The 14823-nt window shown below is 39.7% G+C and overlaps 1 protein-coding gene across 32 annotated transcripts in view; it reads right to left on the reverse strand.

Moving 5' to 3' along the window:
* Window positions 1-14823, reverse strand: part of MYT1L (myelin transcription factor 1 like) — a 542163-nt gene that overhangs the window by 256392 nt on the left and 270948 nt on the right. For all 32 annotated transcript variants that reach the window (NM_015025.4, NM_001303052.2, XM_011510326.2 and 29 more), the window contains one exon: window positions 8474-8619. The gene's annotated coding sequence lies outside the window, so the exon portion shown is untranslated. The remainder of the gene's footprint in view (window positions 1-8473; window positions 8620-14823) is intronic.

Below are 14823 nucleotides of genomic sequence, written 5' to 3' on the forward strand. Positions count from 1 at the left end.
TAGAAAAATAAAATGAATAACCTCATAGCCTGTGGATGGGATCCTCTTTTGCTCACCCCTCTCATATTTTATTTATTTTTTCTTAAGAGAGCATGCAAAGCATTTTAAATAAGTTCCCAGCAATGAAATGTCCCAATTTCCCTATCCTCTGCTCATGTAGTTGTACTGTGAATGCATTAGAAATTAGACAAATTGCCTTTTTCTCACACAGGACCTATATTTTTCTGCCTCAGTGCCTTTGCTCAGCTGGTGGAAGATTCTTTCCACACTATTCTCTCAAATTCAATAAAGCTATTTGGATCTCCAGGCCAACTTTCTTCTTTCCAAGGGCCTGGTGTCCCTATGTTTGCCACCAATGATATGGCTCTAACCCTCCCTCCCTGTGGTCCTCCATGGGTCTGTCTTAGCTACATCCCCAGGGTGCACATCCTGACCTGCTGTGGGGTCCTTAGCTCCTCCAGGGCCGCTGTCGTCTTCTGTATCTTTGGGACCCTTTTCAGATTCAACACATTGACTTGCACATGGTCTCTCCGTGAATATGTGGTGAATATAAACATGAATAATTTATTTTAAAAAGGAATGCACATATGCATGGCACAGCATTCTTAAAGCTTCAAGAGATATACTATGAAAAGCAATTTTTCTCCCCCCAGGCACCTAATTCCTTCCCTCTGAGACAACCTGTCCTGTGGTCTTCCTCTGAAGTCCAATGCACTGACAAGCATCTACGTATACATACATGCTTTTTATAATACACAAATCATAACATTACATGCATGGTTTTTTCACCCTGTACATTTTGTTTAATATTATATCTTGGGCTAGGTTTATATAATCTCCTTCATTAAAAAAGCAAATTTATCATGCTCCATTACATGAATATAGCATGATTTATTTCACCAGTCTCCTATGGATGAATATTTGTTTCCAGAATCTTGTTCTTATAAACAAGACTTGTAATGAATGCAATAAAAATAGCCAACATTTCTAATACAAAAATGCTTGCTAAGTGACAAGTGCCATTTTCACTCATTCAATCAATTTTTACCACAACTGTCTTAGGTATAAATACTGTGATTATTCCTGGCATACAGAAAAGGAAACCACAGCAGGTAGAGACCAGTAGCTCGTCCCGGGTGAAGCCACACTTGGTTCTTGCAGGTGTGGTCAGAGGTCATGCTCTTGGCTTCTGCACTGGCTGTCTATTTATAAATGCTACTTTGCTCTCCTGTGTGTAAATATTTGTACACTAAATATCTAGAAGTGGAATTACTAGTACAGAGGATACACCCTTTCTGAGCTTCATTGATATTGCTAATTATTTTCTATAACCCATACTTTTCAATACTTTGCTATCAGCCTGCCTGTCTACTGTCCACTGAGAGGGAAAGAAAGCCATGACTTAGTGACTCCACTTGGAAGTTATGGTGTCATGAGTTTGAGCAGCTTTTCTGATGTCAAATTCATTTTTATCTCCTCTGAATTGTCTTCCATATCCTTTGCCCATTTTTAGTTAATATTTTTATTTGTTAAATTTAATATGCTAATACGCCACTACGTTTACCCATTTATGCTATATTTTAATGAAGTAATTTCTTATTTATTAGTACAATATTAAAACAATACCTGCACTAAAATTTCCACCTTTCTACATTGTCTTGAACGTTCTTTTGACTCAGCAAGATTTATTCATTTCATTTCTGCAGTATCTATGTTTAAGTTTAATGTCTTACATGGACCTAAATATGCTCTTCATTTCACTTGGCCATATTCTATTAATTCCCACCCATAGATTTTACGCTGGATTTATTTATTTATGAAAGATACCTATGATATTAACGCTAACATGATTTTTATCCTGGTCAAATTAGAATTTTGTCCACAAGACTAATGAAAATGATACATCTGCGAATTGCTCCTCCTAACAAAGTGTACCCCCAGTGGCCATTCTAGAACCTTCTATGGAATGTGGGTACATGAGAATTCTCCTTCACAAGTGAAAAGAAAGATTATGTATTACTAAACATTAATATTCTCTGGGAGATACATTGTATGAGGCTTAGCATATTGAATAAACTCACACATTTCTATTTTTGGAAGAAAATTTAAAAGCTCAACACCGATTTTTCATGATAAAAATTTGGCTAACTACATTTAAGAAGGATGATTGATCTAAGCAGACAACGAAGTCTACATACAACAAGCTTAAATGGAAGATGCTGCTAGTTATTTAAATAGGATATGCTTCTCCAAACATACTAACAATAGTAAATTTTTATGAATATGATGGTATATAATCTTTTTAAAATTAGAACTCAAGGAAATAATGTAAACTACTACTAAGGAGAAAATACGAAACAGTGAACAAAGTATCCAGCTTAAACCACCACAGTACCATTTCCCAGCAAAGGCTGCAGAACACAAATTTCTTTCCAGGCTTCTAGAAGAAAAATTGTCTCCAGGGAATTTGTAGAGGTACCTCCTTCAAGACATGGGGCTGTCCATAAACTGTGGAGTGTGTCAGACCTTGGACTGTGAGCTTGTTGGAGGCACAGACCCGGCTTTAATGCAGACACTGTGCACCAAGCACCTCCTCCATCCGTGTTACTGCTTCTCATTTTGTGAAGCGGGGATAGAGCCTGATGCAGTCTGATATTCAAAACCATTAGTACCAGTAATCTGAGGAACCACTTTAGCCCACTCCACGGTCTTCCAATCCCTTCTGCCCTGACCAGAAAAAAAATAAAATAAAACTTATAAAAGAATTCTGATGAGGTCAGAAACTGATACCTCTTCCTGAGATTTATGTGAATTTGTGTAGCTCCAGCAAAATGTCGTGCTTGCTTGACAACTTCAGGCTTAGAAAGTTTCCTACTTCTGTTCCAAGGGGAAATGGAAACAAGGGCATTCAAGCTTAGAAATTCTCTTGTGGAAAATCCATTTGTGTGAAGCTTCCATGGACCTGTGGGGCACCTGACACCGCTGGGACCTCTCAGCTCACACAGCCCCCAGAAGGACCTATAAGGCTGTGCCACACACCAGAGGTAGGTGGTCCATGCGCTGACTCCACTAACTACAGCAGGACTCTCAGCAAAGCAAAGAGAAACTCATCTCTGGCAATCTCCTGCCTCCCATCCTCCTAGGTGGACCCCTGGTGTCTAAATCCCTTGACAATATCTGACTGCCCCTTAGATCTGAATCCCCCTAAGCGGTCCATGGTCCTGAACCACATATCCTATTTTCCAACTTTGCTTCCATCAGGGTGTCGCCTGACTTCAGGTAATTGTCCTCAGTTAGGAGGAAGGAGATGCCATGATTTGCAGTTTCCACCACACTCCGGAATAGGAGGACAGGGATCAGTAGTTTGGCATCCTACTCTCCTACAGGGTGGTGGCCTGTGACTTTGATAACACAAGTCATGAGAAATGCAAATTTCTACTATTTCTTAAACTACAGTCCAGAAAAATAAAAGCTCAAACAATTTTATTTATTTTTAACTATCCATAATATTTTATAACATCACATTGCAATAAACATTGTTTTAATGAAATCATAACAATTATGATAGAAGCAACACAAATGAATCACTCTGAAAACAATTGAAAAGCATTATTCCATGAGTTAAGGAGGATCTTGACAAAGCAAGACTCAAAATTATTTGGTTGCTTTCTGGGGAAACATGTATGAGGATGATGACTATAAAGTTATATTAACGGCACTGAGTCATTAAAGCAAAACAATTTGATTTGGTAGCAACCTAGCAGTTCCACAAGTTCTCTGTGTGTATATACACATAGTACATTATCTATGCACACAAGTGATATATATTATACACGGTTATCAGAGAGACACAAGAATAATAATGTATAATACCTGCATATGGCTTTGTAGAGATAGTAGAGTGAGTTCACAGTAGTTAACAACATTGGCTTGGAAGTTAAAATGCCTACATAAATTTGAATCCCATCTGTGTCATTTATTAACTGTGTAATGTTAGACAAATTATTTAACTTCTCTGTATATTAATTTTCTCCTAACATAAATTATGAATATAGATAGATAGATAAATAGACAGATAGACAAGGTTTGGGTCTGTGTCCTCACCCAAATCTCATCTTGAATTGTAGCTCCCATAATTCCCACATGTTGTGGGAGGGACCAGTGGGAGATAAATGAATCATGGGGAAAGCTTCCCCCATACTGTTCTCATGGTAGTGAATAAGTCTCATGAGATCTGATGGTTTTATAAGAGGTTTCCCCTTTCACTTGGTCCTCATTTCTCTCTTGCCTGCCGCCAGTTAAGACATGGCTTTCGCCTTCTGCCATGATTGTGAGGCCTCCTCAGCCATGTGGAACTGTGAGTCCATTAAACCTCTTTTTCTTCATAAGTTGCCCAGTCCCAGGCATGTCTTTATCAGTATTGTGAAAATAAACTTATATACGTGTGTGTGTGTGTATATATATATATATAAATATGTATATAGTACTAACTTCATAGGGGGTTTTTTGACGATGAAATGAGACATGGTGAGTGGCACTTTTAGAACCAAGCTTGGTACAGAGTGGATGCTTAATAAATGATTAGCAGCTATTATCATCTTTTGTAGTTTACATTAGGTTCATGATATCCATCTCACTTGACCATTTACTTCTGTTTTACAAAAAAAAGAACAAATTTTTTGTAGAGATTTGCCCAAAAACAAGTGATCGCTGGCAGTTTCAGGACTACCTGATGACATTTGCTCACTGTTTTAAATATATTTCTTTCAAAGGGTCAAAGAATATAGATTTACAGAGTTGGAGCTATTTCAGCAGATTTCTCCTTCTGGACACGATATGCTTTTCTTTAAAATAGTCACCATTCAGAACACAATTCATGTAGTTTTTCGGGAAACAGATATTGATTTTATTTTAAGGACAGTCTTTAGCATGGAAATTGGATGCAGAGTGTGATTTTCTCTTTGGGCTCTGGTTCAGGGGAAATTGGATTTCCTAGAGCACCAGCTGCGGAGGCGCCACAGGTGTTCACGGCTCAGCAATCACAGTGGCTAATTGGGACACACGAGGACAGAAAAATGCCCTAAATCTAAATCTTGTTCTATGGCATTTTTATTTCTCCCATAAGATCAAGCCCCAAAGTCCTTCTTAAGTGGAGATGCTAAAGGAAGCTAAGCTGCTGCAGACAGAAAAGATGACACATGGTAGGGGGAGCACTGCAGGGGAGGGAAGAGCTGAGAGCGGCAGAAGGTAGCGGGACTTGGGGTTGTGTGCAACAGCTGCTGCTTTGCCGTGGCGGTGGTGCTAAGGGCCTTTCCATCTGAGTGTTTCTGATTCTGAGTTGTAATCTGAGGGTAGGACTAGCAGAACAATTCCTGGAGTCTACAGTTGGACAAACTGCACAACAGCTACTAAAATTGAATTCAGAAAGTTGAATACAGTAACATCCAACTTTGGGGGTAGAAAGGATGGCAGGCAGATGAGTGAAAGAAAGTAGTCATCAATTTCAAGGACTGAGAGGAGGTATGCAACTTCTTAGAGAGGACCATTCTGTTCTACGTTCCATCTGATAGGGTAAGAAATAGAACCACACCCCATTCTGTCTCTCATGGACCACAGAACACAGACAGTACCCATGCTCATTTTATAAACACCAAACCTAAGCCATGGGGAGCTAAGCCCTTTGTCCTAACATGCAGCTGTACGTGACAACTGAATAGTATTCCACGTCCATTACTTGATGCTTCCCATCTCTAAGTTTTGTATTTTTCTTCTCTCAAGTCAGCCATTTCCAGATTTATTCATCTAATAAACTAATCTTTAAAGATCCACTTTTGGGGTGATCTGCTCTTCAAAGTCCTCTTTGATTCCTCTGCTCCTAGTTAAGATCTCTTCTGGGTCCTCCTCAACAGCCTGCACAGACCTCTGTGGATTCATTGAGATGTGACTGAGTACCTAATACGGCCCAGGAAACATGTCCAGCAATGAACCGCTGGACACCAGCGTATCTTCAATCACTGAGATTAGGTGGAACATCCCATGCCATTGTTGACTTTCTACCTAAGAAATTACTACTAGAGAACAAAGCCTTCAAAATTACTGCTAGAGAATTAAGCCTTAAAAACAAAGCTGAGTTTTTAAGAAACTAAACAGACACAACATCTTCATCTTTGGGGAAGATTTTAGAAAACTTTATATTTGATATTCTTATGTAATTGCTCATTACTAATCATACCAGGGTCAGAAAAACTAGGTAAAAATCTGAACTTTTTCTTTCCAAACAGAAATAAGGTCATGGTACACGCTTAAATTGCATATAGAAATTCATTACCAGAAAATATAAGAAACCCTGTTTCTGTCTCATTAAGAAACTTAGCCATATGATCTACAAATTCAGTGCAATCCCTCTCAAAATCTTAAGGTCATTTTTTTTTCAAAAATAAATATATTGCAAGATTCGTAAATGTTAAGAGATCCCCAAATAGCCAAAACTATATTGAAAAAGAACATAGTTAGAAATTTCATACTTTCTGATTTGAAAACTTACAACAAAGCTACTGTAATCAAAATAGTGTGGTACTGGCATAAAGACAGAGAAACAGACCAGTAGAACAGAATAGAGAACCCAGAAATAAATTCTTGCATATACGGTCAAATGATTTTTGACAAGGGTGCCATAACCATTTATTGGAGCAAGGACAGTCTTTTCAACACACAGAGTATACCCACATGCAAAAGAATAAAGTTATAACATTACCTTAAACCTGTAAAAAGAAAAATTAACTCCAAATGGGTTAGCAACTTAAACACAGAGGCTAAAGCTATAAAACTCTTAGAAGAAAATAGGAAGGATCAGCTTCCTGACATTGGATTTGGCAATGATTGATTGGATATGATACCCAAAGTATAGGTTAAAAAAATGTCTAAATTGGGCAACATCAAAACTTAAAACAACGAAATGTTTGTGTGTCAAGGGACACTACCAACAAAGTGAAAGGCAACCCATGAAACAGCAGAAGATATTTGCAAATCATATATATGATAAGGAGCTAATATCTATAATATATAAGAATTCCTACAACTCAAAAACAAATAACTGATTAAGGCAAAGGACTTAGACATTTCTCCAAAGAAGACATGCAAATGTCCCATAAACACATGGAAAGATGCTTAACACCACTAATAATGAGGGAAATGCAAATCAAAACCACAATAGGATGCCACTTCACATCCATCAGGATATCTATTATTTTTAAAAAAGAAAACCACAGGAAAGAGTTAAGTGTTGGCCTGGATATGGAGAAATTGGAATCCTTGTGAACTGTGGCGATAATGCACCACTTTATGGTGCAGCCACTATTGAAAAGAGTGGCATTTCCTGAACAAATTAAAAATAAAATATGATCTACATGATCCAGCAATTCCACTTCTGGGTTGATGCTCAGGAAATGTGAAATCAGGGACTCAGATATATATTTCTACACTCAAGCTAATAGGAGCATAATTCACAGTAGCTGAAAGGTGGAGGCAGCACACGTGTCCACTGACAGATGTACAGTGGACTATTATTCAGCCTTAGAAAGGAAGGATGCTCTGACCCATTCTACGACATGGCTGGATGTTGAGGGCATTATGCTAAGTGAAAGAGAGCAGTCACAAAAGAACAGATACCGTACAATGCCACTCACATGAGGTAAGACTAGTGGTCATATTCACAGAGAGAGAAAGCAGAATGCTGGGACCCAGAGAGTGTGGGGGAGGCCTGGGGAGGTAGTGTTTAACGGGGACAGGGTTTCAGTTAGGGAACGAAAAAGTTCTGAAGACGGCAGGTGGTGACCATTGCACCACTATGTGAATACACTTGATATCACTAATTGCACATTTGAAAACTGTAAAAATGGTAAATTTCATGTTATATGTATTTTACAATTATTTTGAAAACAAAAGGCCATAACCTGAAGTTTTTCAAGAAGCATGACTCCCAGAGCCCACAGTGGCAGCAAGGGACGTTTGTCAACAGTAACTGACAGAAACCTACAGGAACCCTAGGCAATGCAAAACAGGCCCTAATTAATGACCTTCTTAATTTCCTCAAATATAAAATATCCCAAAATAGAACTAATAATGGACACAGGGATCTGATTTTAAAGGGGCTTTGTACAAGGGAGCTTCTCTATGACTGCTGAAAGGTGAACCAGGCCTATTAGTATGCTTATCAATTCTTCTTTTGGGTGATGTTATAACTAGATAACAGAAGGCTACTTGAGTCTATGTTTACCAAGAGATTACACATTCTGACTTTATATTGAATTGTTTATTAAAAGCAAGAGGTGTTGTATTCTTTATCAAATAAAATGCTGCTTCATTCACAAACCTATATTTATGCCTTTTCAAAGTAACATATTTTAAGGTAAATATGCAAAACACCTGTCTGCATGTAAAGCTTAAAATATTAATACCACATAGAGTTCCTCACCTTTAGGTGGCTCCTCGGATATCCATACGTCTGTGAGACCAACTGGAACCTTTCTTGATGGAATTTTGTTGATAGCTTGAAAGATGCAAACACTTGATTGAATTCAATAACTACATTTTTTTCTTCTTCCACCAGATGTGGCCACTCTAGAGAAGAACAAAAAGGCAGAATAATGAGGCTGATATTCACAGTAAAAGCAAAACTCTACTTGAGGGACGTGATTGTCAGGTCTTTAATGCATCTGCTGCAAGTAGGCAATGAGGCCACGCTGGGTGCACAGACACATGGAGATGATGAGACATACAGAGATGAGATGCATGGGGATGATGACACAAATGGAGATGAGACACATGGAGATGATGAGATGCATGGACATGAAACACTAGGAGATGAGACACATGGAGATGAAATACACAGAGACCATAAGACACATGGGGATGATGAAGCACATGGAGATGAAACACTCAGAGGTGAGATCATAGAGACGCATGGGGATGATGAGACATATGGAGACACATGGAGATAATGAGACACAGAGATGAGATCCATGGGGATGATAAGACACGTGGAGATGAGACAGATGCAGATGAAACACACGGAGATGAGACACATGGAGATGAGACACAAGAGATGATAAGACACATGGAGATGGAACACACAGAGATGATGAGAGATACGGAGATGAGGTGCATGGAGGTGAGAAGCATAAAGATGATGAGACACATGGATATGATGAGATGTATGGAGATGACAAGACACATCATGAGCACATGGAGATGAGATACATGGAAATGAGATGCATGAAGATGAGACACAAGAGATGATGAGACACATGGAGATGGAACACACAGAGATGATGAGAGGTATGGAGATGAGGTGCATGGAGGTGAGAAGCATGAAGATGAGACACATGGAGATGGTGAGATGCATGGAGATTATGAACACATGGAGATGAGATACATGGAAATGAGATGCATGGAGATGAGACACAAGAGATGATGAGATGCATGGAGATAAGATGAGAGGGATGGTGGTGACAACAACCTCGTATCACACCCAATTAATTTCCAATAAATCATTCCTTATAGAAAAACCTTTTAAGAAAATTAATGAAATTACTCTTTGTAATATAAAAAATACACAAAACTATATTCTTATAAAACTAAGGGAAAGAGTCATTTTTATGATTGAGTCTACAAAGTATTAAGACTACAAAATGTGTAGAAACAAATTACAGAAGCATACGGGATGTATCTGCACATGTATTTCATAGCTTATATCATCAGCGGGTTGTCATGTGTGTTTGTATTTTTGTCCTTCTCAGTTCAAAGGATAGCAAATAAGTTGTGATTTCCACATAAAAGATTTTACAAGAGCATGTTATTAATTAAAAAGCAAAACAAAATGCAACATCTTGGGTAATAATTTAAAATTTTTTATTTGTTATAGCTATAAAGCAACATCCAAATAGTGTTTAAAATGGGGCTTATGCATAAACTTCTGTGATTAATGTTTATATAGTAGGCACAGTTATTTCCAACACATTCTGAGCTATTACTTACTAAATTGACTAAGAAAGGTTGGAATGGTATTCGACATAGTGGTTTTATAAAAATGCAAGTTAATTCTCACCATTTGAAAGACAAAAAATAGACAAATTTAAATAAATCTTATAAACAAACCAACATAAAGCAAAACAAGTGATTGAGAAATAGTAGGATTGGACATTAATAATCAAAGCCACTCTAATATATTGCCAGTACTATGCTTAAAACAATCATAATATTTTGCTTTCATAAAATATTATTACGTTAATTTACACAATGACTTACTCTACTGGTAATCCTAAAAATTCATCTCTATCACTTTAAGCTTGTTAGCATGTTCTATAGATTCATCGTGTTGTCCATCGTTGTTTTGGGAAAAGTGTTTTTTCTATTCTTCAGTGTTCACAAAAGGTAACAAGGAGGAAGACCTGGAGACCATCAGGCCATTCCTGTGGGAGCAGCCGCAGTCCCAGTGCCTCAACGGCAGATATGACTGATCATTGTCAGGAGAGGGACAGGTTTTTCATTAAAGTGATAAGTATCTACAAAACAGAATTTTGTGGACAAAATGAAAGGTTTTATTTGGAGCGTGCTCTGTTCTCCAGGCGCACATTCACAAATCATGGAGTCAGGAGTGCCCTTCCCATTCCCAGGTGAAACAGCAAAGCACCTTCAGCCTCTCATCAGGGCTGCTTGTCCAAATACTCCAGTTTGGGTGCTCCTGGCTCCTTTCCTGGGTCCCTCAGGCTCTCCAGGCGTGAGGACACACCCTCACAAACATGAGAACCCCTCTTGGAGGAAGGGGAGTTAGAGTAATTGCTGGAGGTGAGACTACCTTTGTTCCAAGATGCATTCCCGTCTGGGAGTAATTTATGAGATGTAGATTTAAAAGCCACTGACAAATGAACTATAGGCTAAATGCCCTTGCAGGGTATATGATGCTGCTGCTTACTAAATGTGTGTGCACATCCATCCGTCCATCCATCCATCCATCCAACTACAGTGTGCTTTTAACAATAGGTCCTCACTAGGTAAAGATTCACAGAACAATTAGGTAAGGAGTGAGTGAGTCAGTGACCTCCTTTTCCCAGTTCTTCAGGTGCGGTAGGAAGGAATATGCACCCACGGTTCTGGCTGCTCACAGTTCCCTGTCACAGATGCTGCTTGTGATCACTGGTAATGGAATTCCCAGGATGAACTCTTAAACGGCATGTTTAGCAGGCAGCTTAGCTGCAAAACAAAAATAACAGCAGCCAGGCGGAAGCTCCTTGGGGCTCTCAGTCACACTCTGTTCTCAGCCAAAGTTTTGCTGGCCTTTCTCCTCATCCACCCTTCCTCTAATCTCCCAAATGAGAATGAGTGGGTTTTTCTTTACGGCATTTGTCATTATCTGGGATTATATCACACAGATTTTGGTTTTAAACTGTTTTGAGGTAACTGTAGATTCACATGCAGCTGGAAGAAAGAATACAGAGATCCCATGCACCCGTCTCAGTGTCCGCCAATGACAACATTTTGCAGAACCATAGCACATACAGGCAGAACGACATTGATTCCTCCCACCGATGTCCAGATTTCCTACTTCTCTTGTGTTCATATATGTGCATGCGATTTTAGCACCAGTGTAGGTTTCTGTGTCTATGACCACAGTCAACATGCAGATAACTATCACCGAAGGAGCAAGAGTTCCTCTGTGTCCTTTTATAGCCCCGCCCACATCCTGCCCTTTCATCACCAAGTCCACCCTCTTCCCTTTCATAGCCACGCCCAGCCTTTTCCTGTTCATCACCACGCCCACTCCCTGCCCTTTCACAGCCACGCCCAGCCTCTTCCTGTTCATCACCAAGTTCACTCCTTTCCCTTTCATAGCCACACTCACCCTTTTCCTGTTCAGAGCCACGCCCATCCTTTTCCTTTCATAACCATGACCACCCCATTGTCTTTCATTGCCACGTCCATCCCCCTTCCAATTAATAGCCACGCCCACTTCTGCCCTGCACATAGCCACCCCCACCATCTTTTTTCATAACCAAGCCCAGCCTCTTTCCTTTCAGAGCCACACCCATATTCCTTCCCTTTCAGAGCCAACTCTCCTACCCTGAACTCCTGGCAACCACTCATCAGTGTTTCCTGTCGTTTTGTTATTTCAAGAACGTTCTATAAATGAAGTCATACACTGTGCAAACCTTGCAGATTGGCTTTTCTTATTCAGCATAATTCTCTGGAGCTTCCATCTGGGTTGTATCAATAGTTTATTCTTTCTAATGGCTGAGTAGTATTCCATGGCATGGCTGTACACAGTTTAACTCTTCATGCTCTGGAGGCCATCTGGGCTATTTCCAGTTTTTGGCTACCATGAATAAAGCTTCTGTAAAGATGTGTGTGCAGGTTTTACTGTGAATGTACATTTCCATCTCTCTGGGATTAATGCCTGAGAGTGGGATAGCTGGGTCATACAGCAATTACATGGCTAGCTTTAAAAGAAAACGCCAAACTGGTGTGAGTGGCTATACCATTTCACTTTGCCTCGATCAATGTACCAGTGATTCAGTTTCTCATTGTCTTAGTCAAAATTTGGTGTTTTCTTTGTGTTTTATGTCACTCATTCTAGGTATGTAGTGACAGCTCATCATGGTTTTAACTGGCATTTGCCTAATAGTTGATGGAATTAAATATCTTTTCATGTACATTTAAATTTCATCTTTAGTGAACTATCTGCCCATGTCTTTTGCCCATTTTCTTACTACATTGTTTTAAATCGTTGAATTTGAGATTTCATTGTATATTCTAGATACTAGTTCTTTGATGAATATTTGATTTCTAAGTATTTTTGCTACCTTGTTGCTTGTCTTTTCGTTGTCTTAACAGAGTGTTTTGTAGAGCAAAAGTTTTAATTTTAGTGACATCCAATTCATCAATTTTCCCTTGTGGATTATGTGTGTGTATATACCTGTTTATGCATTCATGTTCTGTCTTTCCCCACGGAAAAGCTACATTCCATTATGGTAGACACTTTGCTATCTAACTTATTTGTAAATCACAAGAGTCTAGAATTGTGCCTGGCACACACTAATGATCAACAAATTTATGCTGAATGAATAAATAAATGAATAAACACTAATTTATTAGGTAAAAACATTTTAAGTAAGTCTTTTTTCTAACACTGGGGAATGATAACAGTAGTAAAAGTGGCATATTAACATTCTGCAAAATGATTTTAAATCCATTATTCTCTTGGGTTTTCATCATCCCCTGTGGGGAGGACAGTTCAGGTATGATTCTCTTACTTCAGAGATGAGCCCAGGGATGTGAGGCTCCTTCTCAGTGACATCTGTGTCTTGTTTCCACTCTAGTATGTTTCTGCCCAGGATTCCCTCAATATTTAGAAGCGATTGAGGATGATTAAAGAAAGTGTTCATTCATATGGGGGCAACAAAACTATAGATCTTACTACCTTCAAGTGGAATATGAATTGAAACCATACCTAAGTGTGACTGCAGTTTATATAAACTCAAGGACAATTGGGTCATGTCTGCTGTTTGAGAGAAGGAAGAATTCACTCAGTCTTATAGACACAGTGGTCTTGTTATTCCTCAAAAGGTCTGCGTGTCACCCACACTGGCGGGAACTGAATGGCCGTTCCCATTTCTCTGAACAAAGGGTGCCTGGCTGAGTGGGCCTGCAGTGGCCATAGCATCCCAGCTTCTTACTCTGGGTGAGGGCATCAACGGGGTCGCAACTGCTTTTCGCAGGATTGTTTTATTATTTCCAGTGACTTTCCATGAAAGCACATGCCATCTTGTCCCATGCAACACAAAACATGCAGGGCACCGCAGTAAGCACCCGACGGTCTCGTGGCACCATAGTAAGCACCCGGCGGCGGTCTCACAGCACCGCAGGAAGCACCCAATGGTCTCACTTTCCGTTTGTGTTGATGAGCAGAGCCCCCTGGAACCAGGTGCATTGCCCAGTGCTGGCGGCACTTCATCCCCACTGAGGGTGGACATGCATGCAGTGAGTTCTCCACACAGTCCCTGCCAAAGGCCTTGCACCAAAGCACAAACGGACGCAGGACTGCAGTTCGGCAGGGGGCACACAATGCATGGGTGACATTTCTATGAAAAATTTCTCTCTGAAAGTCCTTAATTATGTCTGCGTCGTAGGCTCTTCACCTTTCAGAATCATCGCAGTTAAAAAAAGAAAGAATAAGGAAAGGCCTCAGTACAGAGAAAAATTGTTCTATAGATAAATAATTATAAACGGATGACTGTCACTGAAAATGTGGTGGGTTTCCTAGAAAGAGTTTTGTAGGAAGCTTTGGAGGCTGCAACACATCTTGTGTTATGGTTTTCTCTTGACTCTGTCAGAGAATTTAGCATACCATGCTGTAACTGTAGATCTCCTAAGCGGCACCCCAACCCCACCACGAGCTCGTCAGGGCAGGGGACAGAGCCCATTAGATTCTAAACCCCAGAACTGGGCCCACTGCAGACATAGAGCATGTGTGGAACTGAAGTTTGCTCAATTTCATGAGTGAACCAAAGACGAACTAAACTAACAAACTTCTATCTGTCATCTCATGGCCAGCCACAACACCTGGGCACATCAGATAGCGTGGCAGCAAGGAAGGACTGCAGCTTCAGGGGTGACACTCCCTGCTCTTCAGTTTGGGACTGTAGGGTCCCTTTCACAGGAACTTAGGCCATTTCCTCATTTTCACATCGTATAGAACAAATAAGTGATTGTACAAACTCAGTTGTAGATCAATGAATTATTCATAGCTGTATTATAAAATTCATTTTA

The sequence above is a fragment of the Homo sapiens genome, chromosome 2 (genome assembly GCF_000001405.40).
Source record: "Homo sapiens chromosome 2, GRCh38.p14 Primary Assembly".
NCBI lineage: Eukaryota > Metazoa > Chordata > Mammalia > Primates > Hominidae > Homo > Homo sapiens.